The following is a 20,374-nucleotide window of genomic DNA, read 5'->3' on the forward strand; positions in this document are numbered from 1 at the left end:
GTGCCCCGGGAGCTCAGTAACGTGGTTTGGAAGGGGACAGAGGCCCCAAAGGCCTGAAAGCCCAAAAGGAGTACTTTGTGGCCTGCACACCAAGGTTTTTCCTAAGGTTCATCCTGCCACAGAAATTCTTTCTCCTCCTTCTCCTCCCATTCCTCAGCCACTGGCGTGATTAGGACTGGCTACAAAGACTGCCTAATTTGGAGCGTTTGGGGTTCCTTTCGTCCTTGTGATCCCCAATGCATTCTGCCAGCCCCTTTCTAAAAGAAATGGCTTCTCTGGAGGAGGGCATCTACAGCCTTAAAATTAATTCCAAACGTAGCTCCTATAATTTCATGAACCCTCAATTTGCAGCTGGAAGTGAGGGTCAAAATGAAACTGAGGAACCAAACAAGTTCCAGAACAGGTAGGGTAGACCTAAAGATAGCGACGCTTAATTGACTTATGTGAGGGTTCTCCAGGAGATCCTGGGAGATGACATGCCAAAAGGAAAGGAAGAGGCTGTCACTAGTTCACAATCAAGCCTAGGAGAGTGTCTCTACTACGGAGAAGGACGAGCCAGGAATGCCACTATCTTTGCTCCTCAAAAAGAGAAAGAGTCAGCCCCAGAGATGAGCAGCTCCTGTGACAAGAGGGTGATTGTTAATCCTCCTAAGAAATTCAGTAAGGGGCGACCTAATAACCAAAGTAGAGTCATTTATGAAAAAAGCTCTCCGCCTTTAAATTTTCTGGGTGATTATAACCCCCATTCAATAATCCAAAAGCGACTTAGCAACCAAAGTAGTCATTTGTGAAAAAACTCTCCACCTTTAAATTTTCCCGGAAGACTAGAGCTCCCATTCAATGTTCCAAAAGCACAAAGACAAGATGGTGATTGAGCGCCCCTCTTTAGGGTGTGACTGATCTGATGTAGGTGGAACCACAGTCGTATTCTCTGAAGAGAAGCCATTCTCACTGTGTCTTCCTGGAGTGTCAGAGCCTCTGTACTACGCCACTGACTATACCACTTTTCCACCTCATTATAGTCCTTGGCATGACTACACCAGCTCTTGGTTCAGCAATACCAAGTCTTCTTGGTATCCCTCCTTGGGCAGCAGCAGTAACACATTCCAGGCTGGGAAGAGCAGCTTCAGCAGCAGCAGCAGCAACAACAACATATTCCAGAATGAGAGGAGCAGCCACCAGAGCTTCCTGAGTGATTATTCCACCAGTTTTCCAGTGAGTGCCCAAAACATGTCCAGAGACCTGAAGATGACAGAGGAAGGCAGATCCAAGAATTCCTCCTTATTTCACTACTCCAGAAATGTGGAAGCAGATGCGAAGGAGGAGGGAGTGTATCAAGAGGAGACATTACAACGTCCTTATGGAGGACATGCATCTAGCTTTCTGCCAAGTACCCTCTGGCAGCCAAAGCAACAGGGTTTCATTGTTGATACCCACTGTCACTTGGACTTGCTGTATTCCAGGCTGCCTTTCAAAGGCACCTTTACCAAATTCAGAAAAATGTATAGCAACACCTTCCCCAAGGAATTTCAGGGTTGCATTTCTTGCTTCGACAATCCTCAAAACCTAAGGGACAGGCTGTGGGAGCATCCGTTGAAAGATGATCAGCCTTTGGCTGATAGCCTTTGACTGTTGCCCTCATTTTGCCCATTATTATAATGACTATCAAGAAAGAAGTATTTTAAAAGCCTTACAACACCCCAAGTCTGTGGCATTTGGAGAAATGGGCTTGGATTACTCCAACATGTGCACCACACATGTCCCAGAGCAGCAGAAGGTATTTAAAAGATAGCTGCAGCTGGCCGTCTCTCTTAAAGAAGCCCATGATGATCCACTGCCGAGAAGCCGATGAAGACCTACTGGGCATCTTGAAAAAATATGTGCCCTCTGACCACAAGATGTACCAGCATTGCTTCACTGGCAGTTACCCAGTCATCGAGCCCCTGTTGAGCCACTTTCCCAACCTGTATGTGGGCTTCATGGCAATTCTGACTTACTCTTCTGCTGAGCAAGCCCGAGAAACTGTGAAAAAGATCCCATTAGAGAGAATTATTGTAGAAACCAATGCTCCCTTCTTCCTCCCTCACTAGGTTTCCAAAAGCCGTTGCCAGTATGCCCACCCAGGCCTGGCCCTGCATACGGTGCGAGAGATTGCCAGAATCAAAGATCTGTTGCTTTCCCACACCTTGGCCATCTTGCAGGAGAACACCTGTCACCTCTACCATCTTTAAACAGAAAAGGCACAGTCAGGAGTCTTCCTAAGAAAGGAGACCAGTAGCCTGACAAAACACATGAACTAGATTTGAACTCTATGTCCCGGGTCAAGGATGTGTTTGAAGAATTCGTTGGCATGGAGTAAACCAGGACAGGATATTTTCCTCAAAACCTTTTCGTAAGACTTCTGCTTCTGGCTGGTAGGGTGGGGTACAATGGGATGGGAGGAAGGCTAAGGTAAACTGCCCTTGATGTTATTAAGGTTTTTCTTCCCAGCAAAAATGCCTTAAGGTAGCCAGTAAAGAAGAGAGTTTGATAGAATACAAAGAGTTTCCCAATCTAAATCCCTGTCCTCTGCAGCCTGCTTTTGATCACTTGGTGAATAAAGTCACCCTTCTACTTGTCTTTAAAAAAATGTAGAATTTTAAAAGTGAGGTAGGTGATTTGTATATTATATTCGTATATTATAGGAATTCTATTTAAAAATTTAAAAATCGGTCGGGCATGGTGGCTCACACCTGTAATTCCAGCACTTTGGGACGCTGAGGCAGGTGGATCACTTGAGCCCAGGAATTCAAGACCAGCCTGGGCAACATAGTTAAAACTCATCTCTATTTAAAAAAAAAAAAAAAAATCAGCTGGGTGTGGTGGCACACACCTGTAATTCCAGCTACTTGGGAGGCTGAGGTGGGAGGATCACTTGAATCCACGAGTCTCAGGCTACAGTGAACTGTATACTCACACCACTGGACTCCAGCCTGGCAACAGAGTGAAACTCCCATCTCTTAAAAAAAAAAAAAAAAAAAAGTTTTTTAACAAAAAATAGGCCAGATGTAGTGGCTCACGCCTGTAATCCCAGCACTTTGGAAGGCCAAAGCGGGTGGATCACTTGAGCCCAGGAGTTTGAGACCAGCCTAGGCAACATAGTGAGACCCTGCCTCTAAAAAACATTTTTTAAATAAAAAATGTAAGTATACACTCAAAAAGATAAGCGAGATCTACACACCGAGTTTTCCTTTCCAAAAAAAATTTCTATCAAAAAAAAATTTTTTTAATTTTAGATGGAAAACCAACCTACTCCTCTCTCCCTGCATTTTTGTGTGGCAAATTTAAGTGTTACACTCTGCGGTGTTTATAACATGCAGGAGAGAACCTTGCTGTAATTTATCTTTTTTTCTTCAGGAAAAGGAATGAGCATTGTAGTTCTGAGTGTAGTATTATCAAGAGTAGCCTAAATCAAAAAGCACAATCTGGCCAGGCGCGGTGGCTCAGCCTGTAATCCCAGACCTTTGGGAGGTGGAGGCGGGCGGATCACGAGGTCAGGAGATGGAGACCATCTTGGCTAACGCAGTGAAACTCTTCTCTACAACAAAAAAAATTAGCCGGCGTGGCAGCAGGCGCCTGTAGTCCCAGCTCTTCCGGAGGCTGAGGCAGGAGAATGGCGGGAACCCGGGAGGCGGAGCTTCCGGCGAGCCCAGATGGCGCCACTGCACTCCAGCCTGGGCGGCGGAACTAGACTCCGTCTCAAAAAGAAAAAAAAAAAGGCCGGGTTCGGTGGCTGATGCCTGTAATCCCAGCACTTTGGGAGGCCGAGGAGGGCGGATCACGAGGTCAGGAAATCGAGACCATCTTGGCTAACACGGTGAAACCCCGTCTCTACTAAAACTACCAAAAATTAGGGGGCGTGGTGGCGGGCACCTGTAGTCCCACCTACTTGGGAGGCTGAGGCAGGAGAATGGCGTGAACCCGGGAGGCGGAGCTTGCAGTGAGCCGAGATCGTGCCAGTGCACTCCAGCCTGGGCGACAGAGCCAGACTCTGTCACAGAAAAGAAAAAAAAAAAAAAACAAACCTCAATTTTCATTTATTTATTCCATTAGTGAGGTAAAGAACAGTTCACCTACTCATGTTACTAGTAAAATCTTGCAATGCAAATGTGCAAAATTTGGGACACTTTGTAAATAGTTTTCTACTTAAGTGATAGATATTCCATTTAACCTCAAAGAATTATTATTTAGCATTTATTTTTATGGCATTTGGTGTGACTACCCTCCCATCCTGGAGACATCAGAGTTGTGAAGGTAGCCAGTAATCTAGAAATTCAGTTTACTCTTAGTGGTCCCTGGGATATTAGTCTGGAGTCACAGAGCCTCTCAAGGCCCATTAACAGGCTCCCCCAACCTTAGCAGTCCTTTCAGGGCATGTCAACATTTCGCTTCACTTAAATTTTAGAAAGGCAGCTATTTCTACCTTTAAAGCTCAAAAGAAGCAAACTGCCCATTTTGTCTTGGGAGACAGAGGAATTTGCTTTTTCAGTTGGTTTTTATTCATATCTAACTTCAAAATTCATACCTGCTTATTATAAAAGTTTTGAGACAAGTAAAGCGAAAAAAATGTGATTTTTAAAAAACCCAAACAAAATAAAAGCAACAGAAGGAAAAACGTACATGGTAAAATTGATTTTTTTTAAATCAATAGTAGAGTCAAATATTGGCAAAATCTGGATATACAAAATTTGACTCAGGAAAATTGATCTTGGTAGAAATGTGATCAACAAAGAAAACTCAGACTGTCAAAAGCCACAATGGACAGCATTCATATAGACAAAAATTAATGAACCAAATGTTTTTAGTAAATTTTATTGTAGAAAAAATCTGTTGAAAATATTTCTTAATAGGAAAATATGGTAATAGTTTACCTGCATGGAAAAATTGTTCAAAGAATTAAAGTAGCTTGCAGTGGGGAAAAAAGTAAAAATTTTTTTGTTTAGGTATAATTCTGTTTGTTTTAAATAATCAACTCAGACTGCATGTGCTTTTTCAAAACTATTGTTTACTGATACATAAAATTGTGCTTTGAAATTTATTTTTCTTTCTGTTCTCTGATGTCGATTTTATTGTGTATTTTCTAATGTCTTAAGCTAAATGCTTAGTTTATTTTTTATCTGGAGAGCAAGAACAAAGCAGTCAATACCACAAATGTGTCTGTAATTATAACTCTGCTGTATACATAGATTTTTTTATTTTGATAAAGTTTACTTTACACATTATAAAAACACAAATGTATTACAAAAATATGGAAATAGAGAGTAGCAGGAAAAAGTATATGGCATTTCTATTACCTAGAACCCCACTGTTGTAGGTGTCTTTCCTTGACATAGCTGTGACCATATAGCTCTGTTAAATTGCATATTTGTCTAAATAATTCATATTTTTTTCTATCCCTATCTTGCGTTTGGAGCTCATTTTATGATTGTTATTCTTTTATCTTTCAATAAATACTCAAAATGTTAAAAAAATATGATTCAGGAATTTTTAATTGTCTTAGCCACAAATTTATAGGATTTCCAGGATCTGTAACAATGGATAAATAATTTTATAAAAATCCTAAATTTACACAGAATTATAAAGATATAATCATTTTAAACAGCACCTATTTTGCAAATTTTATAAATCTCTTTCTAGGACTCATCTCTGCTTCTACAATCAACCCAGAATGTGACTGTAAATGCGCGCAACTCAGAAGGGGAGGTCACAGGCAGGTTAAAAGTCGGTGAGTCCAGCTTCATCATGGTGCTTTGCATGCATGTTGTCCATGAATAGTGCTAAATGAATGCATTGTTTTTTCTTCTAAAGAAATCAAAGCTACTTATGAACAAAATATGAATTTTCTAAATATCATGCTGTGTTGACCACAGACTAGCACCACAGAGTGGGGTGGGGGGTGAGGGGACAGCCTGAAGTGCTTTGATTAGAGTTATTTTTGTTCCAAGAAATAGAGGACAATTAAAGCTAGTACAAGAAACAAAATGTTTATTGTGGGTTACCAAAGACTCTTGCAGCAACCAAAGGGAAGGAACCCAAGTAGCTGGCCTCAAAGAGCACAGAGACCAGTGGCTGAGAGCCACGAATACATTCAGTTCCCTCCCCGTTCTTTCTTCTCTTTTCTCTCCTCCCCATGTGCTCCATTCTCCTCCTTTCCAGTTTATCTTTGCCACCATTTTCACTTGGCTGTATCACTTCTCACTGTACAGAACCTATAGGGCCTCCCTGATTCTTACCTGCTCGGCTGTAGTTATCAACATCAAACAGTTTAGTCTTCAATTACGCAAATTCTAAATCCACAAAGTACTCTAATTAGCCCAATTCATCTGTCCCACCACATTCCTTTGGGTCAGTCAGCTATGTACACCCATCCAATCAACTAAGGCCAGAGGATAAGGTCACATGGGAGTGAGGTCACATGGAATCCTGCAAAGGGAGAAAAATGTCAGCAAGAAGAAATACAGATGAAAGCAATATCAGAAGAGCAAACCAGCTGGTAAGAAGGAATGCAGGCCAGGCATGGTGGCTCACCCCTGTAATCCCAGCACTTTGGGAGGCCAGGATGGAAGGATTGCTTGAATCTAGGTGATCAAGATCAGCCTGGGCAACATCTCTAAAAAAATAATTTTAAAAATTAGCCAGGTGTGGTGGTGCACGTCTGTAGTCGCAGCTACTGGGGAGTCTGAGACAGGGAGGATCACTCGAGCCTAGGAATTCAATTCTGTGGTGGAAGAGACCCTTTGTTTGAAAAAAAGAGAATAAGAATAACGAAGATATATATATTCACTATACTATTAACATTGGATAGATTTGCTAAGTCTAGGAAACTGGATGGCCCTTGTCATTATCAGAAAATAAATGAGAGGTGTACTGCCAACACAAACTTCCAATGTCTCTCTTTTTAATGGTACTTTTACAAAACAGAATAATGTTACATGGGAAACTACAGCCTTATGTTAATCTGATGATTCCTTTTTCTTATACTAATACAAGATGTTCTGTACTTTATCCTCTGCTTTATAACTTATTCTTGATCATAACTTGTATCTCTCTTTGGCCTGGAAGTTTTGTTTAATAACTAAGTCCAGTGAAATTCTCTGTGGATCAGGAGATGAACTCCAGTTTTTCCTGCATATACGTTCTTAAGATGTATTTAAAACAAATTATATTTTCTTGATAAATTATACAGTATTATCATTTATCTTTACCATCATTTCTTGAAAATCTTCAACTGCCTATAGCTTTCAAGTGTTTGAGGAATTTTTGCCCATTTTTTCTCATTCATTCCAACAAATATTTGTTGAATGACTATGGGCTACCTTATATGCTATCAAGTAATAATAATAAAGACTATGTAATTATTTCTTAGAAGCTATAAAAGTAGAAGAATCTTCTTATATTCCTATAAAAATTAATTAGCGGCCGGGCACGGTGGCTCACGCCTGTAATCCCAGCACTTTGGGAGGCCGAGGTGGGTGGATCATGAGGTCAGGAGATCAAGACCATCCTGGCTAACACAGTGAAACCACGTCTCTACTAAAAATACTAAAAATTAGCCGGGCGTGGTGGCGGTCGCCTGTAGTCTCAGCTACTTGGGCGGCTGAGGCAGGAGAATGGCGTGAACCCGGGAGGCGGAGCTTGCAGTGAGCCAAGATCGCATCACTGCACTCCAGCCTGGGCGACAGAGTGAGACTGTGTCTCAAAAAAAACAAAACAAAACAAACAAACAAAAAAGTTAATTAGTACAAGTACACATTCCTCTGTTTATCTTTTTGTTGGGTGTGGATTTTCGTATATTATGCAAGGGAATTTAGATATAATATAAACCTGCCTCTCATTTCATAGATGAAAAAACTGAAGGACTAAAAAGCAGATTTGCTCAAGAGCACATAGCTAGTTAGTAGAGAAGTCAAAACAGGAAAGACTGAGGGCTTACTTCTCTCAGCCAGCTGTTTCCACTGGCCCTCCTCTCTAATCAGATTTCTTGAAATTATGGCATGCTAGTAACTGTTCTAGTTGCTTCAAATATAGTTTCCATTTCATTTTTGTCACCAAGAAATTACCAGGGGTTTTAAAGGTTTTGTTTTGTTTAGTTTTTCTTTTTTTAAAAAGGCTGGGTCAGTGGCTCACTCCCGTAATCCCAGCACTTTGGGAGGCTGCAGCAGGAAGACTGCTTAAGCCTAGGAGTTCAGGGCTTCAGTGAGCTATGATCACGCCATTACACTCCAGCTTGGGTGAGAAAGTCAGACCATCTCTAAAAATAAAAATAAAATAAGTTACACATCAAAATCTCTTTGGTTTGAACTGTTCGCCTCAATCTCTAGTTTTAACCTTGGTGTCTCATGCCTGAGAAAGTGATTTAATTAGTGATTTCTAGTAAATCTTTAGTTGGAAAGTCTCTGTTATATTGAGAACCTTGAGCTAGGAAATAGCACCAAGCTCACCAAATCCAAGGTTTTCTTCCGTACATGACTTCCCACAGTTGCAACCCTTCTAGTCTCATATTTCCTGGAAGAAGTTAAATTTTGCCAATTTGGGTATTAAAATGTAATTTATGTGAACTAGCCATATTAATCTCATTTAATTAAGTGAATAAGTGTTTTCTACAAAACCACTGAAAACAATTTGCATTCAATACAGTCAAAACCAAAAATCCCAATTAAATTCTGACATGATTTGGATGTGCGTCCCCTCCAAATGTCATGGTGAAATGTGATTCCCAATGTGGAAGGTGGGGCCTAATGGATGGTATTGTATCATGAGGGTGGATCCCTCTCAAACGGCTTGCACCATACCCTTGGTGAAGAGTGGGTTATCACTCCATTAGTTCACATGACATCTGGTTGTTTAAAAGAGTCTGGGACCTCTCTCTTCTCTCTTGCTCCTACTCTTACCACGTGATGCACCTGCTCCTTCTTTGCCTTCTGGAATGATAGGAAGCTTCCTGAGGCCCTCACTAGAAGCATACGCTGAAGCCATGTTTGTACAGCCTGCAGAATTGTGAGCCAATTAAACCTCTTTTCTTTATAAATTACCCATCCTCAGTTATTTCTTTATAGCAGTGTAAGAATCGAGTAACACAGAAAATTGGTACTGAGGAGTGAGCCATTGCTATAAAGATACCTGAAGGTGTGGAAGCAGCTTTGGAACTGGGTAACAGGCAGAAGTTAGAAGAGTTTGGAGGGCTCAGACAGGAAGATGACAGAAAGTTTGGGACTTCTTAGAGACTTAGTAAGTGGCTGTGACCAAAATGCTGTTAGAAATGTGGGCAGTGAAGATCAGGCTGAGGAGGTCTCAGATGGAAATGAGGACGTTATTGGGACCTGGAATAAACATCACCTGTGTAATGCCCTAGGAAAGAGCTTAGCTGCATTGTGTCCACAACCTAGGAACCTATGGAAGTTTGAATTTAAGAGTGATGACTTCGTGTACTGCAGAAGAAATTTCTAAGCAGCAAAGTATTCAAGAAGCAGTCTGGCTGCTTCTAATAACCTACAATCAGATATAAGAGCAAAAAAAAAAACTTTAAAATTTGAATTTATATTTAAAAGGGAAGCAGAGTGGAAAAGTTTGGAAAATTTGCTGATTGGCACTGTGGTAGAGAAAGAATTCAAGCAGGCTACAGAGCAATCACTTACTAGAGAGCTCAGCATGGCTAAAAGGGAGCCAAGTGCTAATATCCAAGACAATGGGGGAAAGGCCCTGAAGACATTTCAGAGATCTTCGTGACAGCCCATTCCATCACGGGCACAGAGGCCTAAGAGGAAACCATGGTTTCAGGGACACTGCTTCCCACATCACAGCTGCTCTAGCTCCAGCTGTGCCTCAAAGGGCCCCAGATACTACTCAGGCCATCGCTGTGGAAGGCGCAAGCCATAAGCCTTGGTAGCTTCCACATGGTGTTAAGTCTCCAGGCCCGCAGAATGCAAGAGGAAGCTTGGCAGCTTGCACCTAGGTTTCAGAAGACGTGTAGAAAAGCCTGGATGTCCAGTCTGAAACATGCTGCAGGGACACAGGCCCCACAAAGATACTGTACTAGAACAGGGCTGAGAGGAAATGTGGGGGTGAAAGCCCCAAAGTCCCTACTGGGGCATTGCCTAGTGGAGCTATGGGAAGGGAGCCACTGCCCTCCAGACCCCAGAATCGTCGAGCTACCAGAAACTTGCATCTTGAGCCTGGAAAAGCCACCGGCACTCAACTCCAACCCATGAGAGAAGCCACTGGGACTGCACCCTGTAAAGCCACAGGAGTGGTGCTGGTCACCTTGAGGTGCCATCTTATTGCCCCTTTCCTTTGACTGATTTCTCCCTTTTGGAATGGCAACATTTACCCAATGCTTCTACTACCATCATATCTTGGAAGTAAATAACTTGTTTGTATTTTATAAACTCAAAGTGGAAAGAGATGAATCTCAGATGAGACTTAGGACGTTGGACTTCATGCTGGAATGAGTTAAGACTTTGGGGGACTTTTGGGAAGGGATGATTGTATTTTACAATGTGAGAAGAATGTGAGATTTGGGGGAGCAAGGGAAGAGTGATATGGTTTGAATATTTGTCCCCTACAAGTTGCATGTTGAAACGTAACCTCCAATGTAGGAGTTGGGGCCTGATGGGAGGTGTTTGGGTCATACAGGTAGATCCCTCATGATTGGTTTAGTGCCATCCCCTTGGTCATGAGTAAGTTTTCACTCAGTTAGTTCACAAAAGACCTGGTTGTTTAAGAGTCGGGGTTTTAAGGGTTTTTTTCCAAGATGGAAGATTAGAGGCATTATTAGCATGCCTTTCCTACTTGGAAAGACATAACAGTTTGTAGAGAATTATGCTGTGAACTTGCTTCCAAGAAACAACACAGGAACTTAATTTAAAAAGCTGAAAGAAAGCACACTTTGAAAGAAGCAGTGGGCAGCAGCTTACACCATGAACCAAATGGGAAGCTCCCCACAGGAGACAGTGAACCTGCTCACACACCCAGCATGTCACTACTACAACCAACATCTTAGAAAGCCATCACACAGATTCTCTATAACCAAGGAACTCATACAGACTCTTCACCACTGAAAGTACCCATAGCCAAAGCTAGTTGACAATAACCTATAAATATTAAAGTCATATCCTCAAGGTGCAAAAAAGAATTTTAAAAATCCCAGCAGAATCAAAAAATAAATGCAAAATTAATTAGAAGAAATAGTTACCCAAATGAGAAGGAACCAGAGAAATAATTCTGGCCATATGAAAAAACAGGGTTTTATAAAACTTGCAAAAGCTCACATTGAGTCTCCAGCAGTGGATCTAAACCAATGAAATCTTTGAAATACCAGATAAATAATTCAAAGTGTTTATTATTAAGTTACTCAAGGAAATACAAGAAAAAAGTGAAAACTAACATGAAAAACTTTTTTTTATATACTTTAATTTCTAGGGTACATGTGCAAAACATGCAGGTTTGTTACGTATGTATACATGTGCCATGTTGCTTTGCTGCACCCATTAACTCGTCATGTACATTAGGTATCTCCCCTAATGCTGTCCCTCCCCCATTCCCCCACCCCACGACAGGCCCCAGTGTGTGATGTTCCCCTTCCTGTGTCCAAGGGTTCTCATTGTTCAATTCACACCTATGAGTGACAACATGCAGTGTTTGGTTTTCTGTCCTTGCAATAGTTTGCTCAGAATGATGGTTTCCAGCTTCATCCATGTCTCTACAAAGGACATGAACTCATCCTTTTTTATGGCTGCATAGTATTCCATGGTGTATATGTGCCACATTTTCTTAATCCAGTCTATCATTGATGGACATTTGGGTTAGTTCCAAGTCTTTGCTATTGTGAACAGTGCCACAATAAACATAGGTGTGCATGTGTCTTTGTAGTAGCATGACTTACAATCTTTTGGGTATATACCCAGTAATGGGATCGCTGGGTCAAATGGAATTTCTAGTTCTAGATCCCTGAGGAATCGCCACACTCTCTTCCACAATGGTTGAACTAGTTTACACTCCCACCAACGGTGTAAAAGCATTCCTATTTCTCCACATCCTCTCCAGTACCTGTTGTTTCCTGACTTGTTAGTGATCGCCATTCCAACTGGTGTGAAATGGTATCTCTTTGTGGTTTTGATTTGCATTTCTCTGATGACCAGTGATGATGAGCATTTTTTCATGTGTCTGTTAGCTGCAAAAATGTCTTCTTTTGAGAAGTGTTTGTTCATATCCTTTGCCCACGTTTTTGATTCGCTTCTTATAAATTTGTTTAAGTTCTTTGTAGATTCTGGATATTAGCCCTTTATATACTTTAATTTCTAGGGTACACATGCAAAACATGCAAGTTTGTTATGTATGTATACACGTGCCATGTTGCTTTGCTGCACCCATTAACTAGTCATTTACATTAGGTATCTCCCCTAATGCTATCCCTACCCCATTCCCCCACCCCATGGACAGGGGTGGGCATTTAGTGCTGTAAATCAGATGAGTAGACTGCAAAAATTTTCTCCCATTCTGTAGGTTGCCTGTTCACTCTGATGGTAGTTTCTTTTGCTGTGCAGAAGCTCATTAGTTTAATTAGATCCCTTTTGTCAATTTTGACTTTGGTTGCCATTGCTTTTGGTGTTTTAGTCATGAAGTCCTTGCCCATGCCTATGTCCTGAATGTTATTGCCTAGGTTTTCTTCTAGGGTTTTTATGGTTTTAGGTCTAACATTTAAGTCTTTAACCCATCTTGAATTAATTTTCATATAAAGTGTAAGGAAGAGATCCAGTTTCAGCTTTCTACATATGGCTAGCCAGTTTTCCTAGCACCATTTATTAAATAGGGAATCGTTTCCCCATTGCTTGTTTTTGTCAGGTTTGTCAAAGATCAGATGGTTGTAGATAAGCGGCGTTATTTCTGAGGCCTCTGTTCTGTTCCATTGGTCTATATATCTGTTTTGGTACCAGTACCATGCTGTTTTGGTTACTGTAGCCTTGTAGTATAGTTTGAAGTCAGGTAGGGTGGTTCCTCCAGCTTTGTTCTTTTTGCATAGGATTGTCTTGGCAATGCAGGCTCTTTTTTGGTTTGACATGAACTTTAAAGTAGTTTTTTCCAATTCTGTGAAGAAAGTCATTGGTAGCTTGATGGGGATGGCATTGAATCTATAAATTATCTTGAGCAGTATGGCCGTTTTCACGATATTGATTCTTCCTATCCATGAGCATGGAATGTTCTTCCATTTGTTTGTGTCCTCTTTTATTTCGTTGAGCAGTGGTTTGTAGTTCTCCTTGAAGAGGTCCTTCACATCCCTTGTAAGTTGTATTCCTAGGTATTTTATTCTCTTTGTAGCAATTGTGAATGGGAGGTCACTCATGATTTGGCTCTCTGTTTGTGTGTTATTGGTGTATAGGGATGCTCGTGATTTTGGCACATTGATTTTGTATCCTGAGACATTGCTGAAGTTGCTTATCAGCTTAAGAAGATTTTGGACTGAGACGATGAGGTTTTCTAAATATACAATCATGTCATCTGCAAATAGGGACAATTTGACCTCCTCTTTTCCTCACTGAATACCCTTTATTTCTTCCTCTTGCCTGATTACCCTGGCCAGAACTTCCAACACTATGTTGAATAGGAGTGGTGAGAGAGGGCATCCCTGTCTTTTGCCAGTTTTCAAAGGGAATGCTTCCAGTTTTTGCCCATTCAGTATGATATTGGCTGTGGGTTTGTCATAAATAGCTCTTATTATTTTGAGATACATCCCATCAATATCTAGTTTATTGAGAGTTTTTAGCATGAAGGCTGTTGAATTTTGTCGAAGGCCTTTTCTGCATCTATTGAGATAATCATGTGGTTTTTGTCTTTGGTTCTGTTTATGTGATGGATTACGTTTAATGATTTGCATATGTTGAACCAATCTTGCATCCCAGGGATGAAACCAACTAGATCTTGGTGGCTAAGCTTTTTGATGTGCTGCTGGATTTGGTTTGCCAGTATTTTATTGAGGATTTTTGCATCGATGTTCATCAGGGATATTGGTCTAAAATTCTGTTTTGTTGTGTCTCTGCCAGGCTTTGGTATCAGGATGATGTTGGCCTCATAAAATGAGTTAGGAGAATTCCCTCTTTATCTATTGATTGGAATAGTTTCAGAAGGAATGGTACCAGCTCCTCTTTGTACCTCTGGTAGAATTTGGCTGTAAATCCGTCTGCTCTTGGACTTTTTTTGGTTGGTAGGCTATTAATTATTGCCTCAATTTCAGCGCCTGTTATTGGTCTATTCAGGGATTCAACTTCTTCCTGGTTTAGTCTTGGGAGGGTGTATGTGTCCAGGAAATATCCATTTCTTCTAGATTTTCTGGTTTATTTGCGTAGAGGTGTTTATAGTATTCTCTGATGATAGTTTGTATTTCTGTGGGATCGGTGGAGATATCCCCTTTATCATTTTTTATTGCGTCTATTTGATTCTTCTCTCTTTTCTTCTTTATTAGTGTTCCTAGCGGTCTATCAATTTTGTTGATCTTTTCAAAAAAACCAGCTCCTAGATTCATTGATTTTTTGAAGGGTTTTTTATGTTTCTATCTCCCTCAGTTCTGCTCTGATCTTAGTTATTTCTTGTCTTCTGCTAGCTTTTGAATTTGTTTGCTCTTGCTTCTCTAGTTCTTTTAATTGTGATGTTAGGGTGTTAATTTTAGATCTTTCCTGCTTTCTCTTGTGGGCATTTAGTGCTATAAATTTCCCTCTACACACTGCTTTAAATGCATCCCAGAGATTCTGGTACATTGTGTCTTTGTTCTCATTGGTTTCAAAGAACATCTTTATTTCTGCCTTCATTTCATTATTTACCCAGTAGTCATTCAGGAGCAGGTTGTTCAGTTTCCATGTAGTTGAGCAGTTTTGAGTGAGTTTCTTAGTCCTGAGTTCTAATTTGATTGCACTGTGGTCTGAGAGACAGTTTGTTGTGATTTCTGTTCTTTTACATTTGCTGAGGAGAGCTTTACTTCCCAGTATGTGGTCAATTTTGGAATAAGTGTGATGTGGTGCTGAGAAGAATGTATATTCTGTTGATTTGGGGTGGAGAGTTCTGTAGATGTCTATTAGGTCAGGTTGCTACAGAGCTGAGTTCAAGTCCTGGATATCCTTGTTAACCTTCTGTCTCATTGATCTGTCTAATATTGACAGTGGGGTGTTAAAGTCTCCCATTATTATTGTGTGGGAGTCTAAGTCTCTTTATGTATCTCTAAGGACTTGCTTTATGAATCTGGGTGCTCCTGTATTGGGTGCATATATATTTAGGATAGTCAGCTCTTCTTGTTGAATTTATCCCTTTACCATTATGTAATGGCCTTCTTTGTCTCTTTTGATCTTTGTTGGTCTAAAGTCTATTTTATCAGAGACTAGGATTGCAACCCCTGCTTTTATTTTGCTTTCCATTTGCTTGGTAGATCTTCCTCTATCCCTTTATTTTGAGCCTGTGTATGTCTCTGCACATGAGATGTGTCTCCTGAATACAGCACACTGATGGGTCTTGACTCTTTATCCAATTTGCCAGTCTGTGTCTTTTAATTGGGGCATTTAGCCCATTTACATTTAAGATTAATATTGTTATGTGTCAATTTGATCCTGTCATTATGATGTTAGCTGGTTATTTTGCCCATTAGTTGATGCAGTTTCTTGCTAGCATCGATGGTCTTTACAATTTGGCATGTTTTTGCAGTGGCTGGTACTGGTTTTTCCTTTCCATGTTTAGTGCTTCCTTCAGGAGCTCTTGTAAGGCAGGCTTTGTGGTGACAAAATCTCTCAGCATTTGCTTATCTGTACAGGATTTTATTTCTCCTTCGCTTATGAAGCTTAGTTTGAAATTCTGGGTTGAAAATTCTTTTCTTTAAGAATGTTGAATATTGGCCCCCACACTCTTCTGGCTTGTAGACTTTCTGCCAAGAGATCTGCTCTTAGTCTTATGGGATTCCCTTTGTGGATAACCTGACCTTTCTCTCTGGCTGCCGTTAACATTTTTTCCTTCATTTCAACCTTGGTGAATCTGACAATTATGTGTCTTGGGATTGCTCTTCTCAAGGAGTATCTTTGTGGTGTTCTTTGTATTTCCTGAATTTGAATGTTGGCCTCCCTTGCTAGGCTGGGGAAGTTCTGCTGGATAATATCCTGAAGAAATTTTTCCAGCATGATTCCATTCTCCCCATCACTTTCAGGTACACCAATCAAACGTAGATTTGATCTTTTCACGTAGTCCCATATTTCTTGCTTTGTTCATTTCTTTTTATTCTGAAAAATTTTTTTTTTAATTTCAGTTATGAGTAAAAAAAAATCTCTAAAGAGATAGATCAAAAAACAAAAACCAGTCAGAACTTTTGGAAATGAAAGACACATTTAGGGAACTATAAAATGCAGTGGAAAGTTTTAAAAATAGACTAGTCCAAATAGAAGAAAGAATTTCAGAGCTCGAAGACAAGTCTTTTGAATTAACTGAATCAGACACAAATAAAGAAAAACAAATTTAAAGAAATGAACAAAATCTCTACAAAATATGGAATTATGTAAAACAACCAAACTAACAATCTTAGGTGTCCTGAGAGAAAAGAAAAAACAAAATGTTTGGAAAATGTATTTAAGGGAATAATTTAGGAAAACTTTCCTGGCTTTGTTAGAGATTTAGACATCCAAGTACAAGAAGTTCAAATAACTTTTGGGAGACTCATTGCAAAAAGGACATCACCAAGGCATATAGTCATCAAGCTATCTGAAGTCAATGTGAAGGAAAACATTCTAAGTGCAGTGAGACAAAAGGATCAGGTAACCTATAAAGGAAAACCTATCAGACTAACAGCAAATTTCTTAGCAGAAACCTTACAAGTCAGAAAGGATTGGGGTACTATCTTTAGTATCATTAAAGAGAACAACTGTCAGCCAAGAATTTTGTATCCAGACAAAGTAAGTTTCATAAATGAAGGAAAAATAAAGTCTTTATCAGACAAGCAAATGCTGATGGAATTTGTCAGCACTAGACTAACCCTAAAAGAAATGCTGAAAGGAATTCTAAATGTTGAACAAAAGGTCAATACACACCAGAATAGAAACTCCTGAAAGCACAAAATTCACAGGGGTTATAAAACAATAACACAATGAAGGAAAAACAGTCACTAGGTAACAATCAACATGATAACTCGAACAGTACCTCACATCTCAATATTCACATTGAATGTAAGTGGTCTAAATGCTCCACTTAAAAGATACAGATTAGCAAAATGGATTAAAAAATCACAAACCAAATATCTGCTGTTTTCAGCAGACAACATGGAAGGATTCTCATAGACTCAAGGTTAAGGGGTCGAAAACAATATTTCATGCAAATGGAAACCACAAGTGAGAATGAGTAGCTATTCTTACATCAAATAAAACAGACTTGAAAGCAACAATGTAAAAACAAAACCAAAAAATGTAGTTATATAATGATGAGAGGATCAGTACACCAAGAAGCTATAACAATCCTCAATATATACGTACTTAAGTCCAGAGCTCTTAGATAGATAATAAAAAATTACTACTATACCTAAGAAAAGAGATAGACAGCAAAACAATAACAGTGGAGGACTTCAATACTCCACTGACGGCATTAGACAAATCATTGAGGCAGAAAGTCAACAAAGAAAACTGGACTTAAACTGTACTCTAGAACAAATACACAAAATATATTTAAATAACATTATACTCAACAAGTGCAGAATATCCATTCTTCCCATCAGCACATGAAACATTCTCCATGGTAGATCATATGATAGGCCACAAACCAAGTCTCAATAAATTTTTTAAGAGCAAAATAATATCAAGTATCTTCTCAGACCACAGCAAAATAAAACTGGAGATAAATTCCAAAAGAAACCCTCAAAATTATACAAATGTATGGAAATTACAGAATCTGCTCCTGAATGATTTTGGGGTTAACAATGACATTAAAATGGAAATTTAAAAATGTTTCAAAGTGAATAAGAGTGAGTCAACTTATCAGAACCTCTGGGATATAGCAAAAGCAGTACTAAGAGGAAAGTTTATAGCCCAAATTCCTACATCAAAGTTTGAAATATCACAAATTGCAAACCTGACATCACACCTCAAGGAACTAGAGAAACAAGAATAAACCAAACCCAAAGCTACCATAGGAAAAGAAATAACAAAGATCAGAGCAGAAACAAAAAAAAAATACAAAAGATCAATGAAACAAAATCTGACTTTTTGAAAATATTTTTTAAAATCATTAGCTATATTAATCAAGAAAAGAAGAGAGAAGATTCAAATAAGCTCGATTAGAAATGAAAATGGAGACAGTGCAACTGACATCACAGAAATACTAAGGATCATTTGAGTTTCCTGTAGACACTTCTGTGCACACAAACTAGAAAATCTAGAGGAAGTGGATAAATTCCTGGAAACAAACAACTCCTTTAGTTTGAATCAGAAAGAAATAGAATTCCTGAACAGACCAATAACAAGCAATGAGATTGAATCAGTAATAGAAGAAACTGCTGAAAACAACAAAAAAGCTCAGGGCTAGACAGATTCACATCTGAATTCAAAAGACTGAGGAGAAAGAAATCCTCCCTAACTCATTATACGAACCCAGTATTACCCTGATATCAAAGCCAGGAAAGAAAATATTAGTAAATGAAAACTACAGACTAATATCCCCAAAGAATATAGATGCAAAAATCCTCAACAAAATACTAGCTGACTGAATCCAACAGCACTCCAAGAAAATCATTCACCATGAGCAAGTTGGTTTCATTCTAGGGATGGTTCAACATATGCGAGTCAAGAAATTTGATTCGTCACCTAAACAGAATTAAAAACAAAAACCATATGATCATCTCAGTAGATGCAGAAAAAGCATTAAACAAAATCTAGCATTCTTTTCTGATAAAAACCCTCAACCAACTAGGCATAGAAGAAATATATCTCAAAATAATAGAAGCCATATATGACAAACTCATGGCCAACATTATACTGGAAGGAAAAAAGTTGAAAGCATTCCCCCTAAGAACTATTACAGAACAAGACGAGGATGCCCATTTTCACCACTTGTATTCAACATCGTACTGAAAGTGCTAGCCAGAGTAATCATTGCAAGATAAAAAAACAAAGGGCATCCAAATTGGAAAAGAAATCAAAGTATCTCTGTTTGCCAATGATGCGATCTTATAGCTAGAAAACCCTACACACTCCTCCAGAAGACTCCTAGATTTGATGAATGAATTCAGTAAAGTCTCAGGTTACAAAAATAAATGTACACAAATTAGTAGCACTGCTATACACCAACAGCAACCAAGCCGAGAATCCAATCAAGAAGTCAATTCATTTTACAATGGTTACAAAAAAAAAATACCGAGAAATATACTTAACCAAGGAGATGAAAGATCTCTGCAAGGATAACTACAAAACATTGCTGAAAGAAATCATAGATGATGCAAGCAAATTGAAATACATCTCATATTCATGTATTAGAAGAATCAATATTGCAAAATGACCATACTGACCAAAGCAGTCTACAAATTCAATGCAATTTCTATTAAAATACCAGCATCATTCTTACAGAATTAGGAAATATAATCCTAAAATTCATACGGAACCAAAAAAGTGCCTGAATAGCCAAATACATCCTAAGCAAAAAGAATAAATCTAAAAATATCACATTACCGGACTTCAAATTATACTACAAGGCTGTAGTAACCCAAACAGCATGGTAGTGGTATAAAAGTAGATACATAGATCAATGGATCAGAATAGAGAACCCAGAAATAAAGTGAAGTACTTACAACTAATTGATCTTTGACAAACCATACAAAAACATAAACTGGGGAAAACACATCCTATTCAATAAATGGTGCTGGGAAAATTGGATTGCCTAGGTCGTGTAGAAGAATGAAACTGGATTTCTACTCTCACCATATACAAAAATTAGCTCTAGATGGGTTTAAGACTTAAATCTAAGACTTGAAATCATAAAAATTCTAGAAGAAAATCTATAGAAAACTCTTCTGGACAATGATTTAGGTGACTAAAACCTCAATAGTAAATGCAACAAAAGCAAAAATAAATGGAACCTAATTAAACTAAAAAACTTCTGCACAGCAAAATAAATACTCATCAGAGTAAACAGACAGCCTATAGAATGGGAGAAAATATGTACTAATTATGCATCTGACAAAGGACTAATATCTAACTTGGGAAAAAAGATTTTTAAAAAAGTTAATATCTGGAATCTACGAGGAAATAAAACAGATCAGCAAGAAAAAAAAAATGAATAATATCATTAAAAAGTAGGCAAAGGGGCCGGGCACAGTGGCTCATGCCTGTAATCC

General features: G+C 39.1%; 1 protein-coding gene and 1 pseudogene across 5 annotated transcripts in view; both read left to right on the forward strand.

Annotated features, from left to right (window-relative positions):
• The window catches only part of SGCG (sarcoglycan gamma), a 164,655-nt gene that overhangs the window by 84,446 nt on the left and 59,835 nt on the right, over positions 1 to 20,374 (forward strand). For all 5 annotated transcript variants that reach the window (NM_001378244.1, XM_047430542.1, NM_001378245.1 and 2 more), the window contains one exon: positions 5,677 to 5,764. In NM_001378244.1, the coding sequence (NP_001365173.1) occupies positions 5,677 to 5,764 (88 nt within the window). The remainder of the gene's footprint in view (positions 1 to 5,676; positions 5,765 to 20,374) is intronic.
• On the forward strand, positions 1,179 to 2,426 carry TATDN2P3 (TatD DNase domain containing 2 pseudogene 3; annotated as a pseudogene).

This window comes from Homo sapiens, chromosome 13 (assembly GCF_000001405.40).
Source record: "Homo sapiens chromosome 13, GRCh38.p14 Primary Assembly".
NCBI classification, from domain to species: Eukaryota; Metazoa; Chordata; class Mammalia; order Primates; family Hominidae; genus Homo; species Homo sapiens.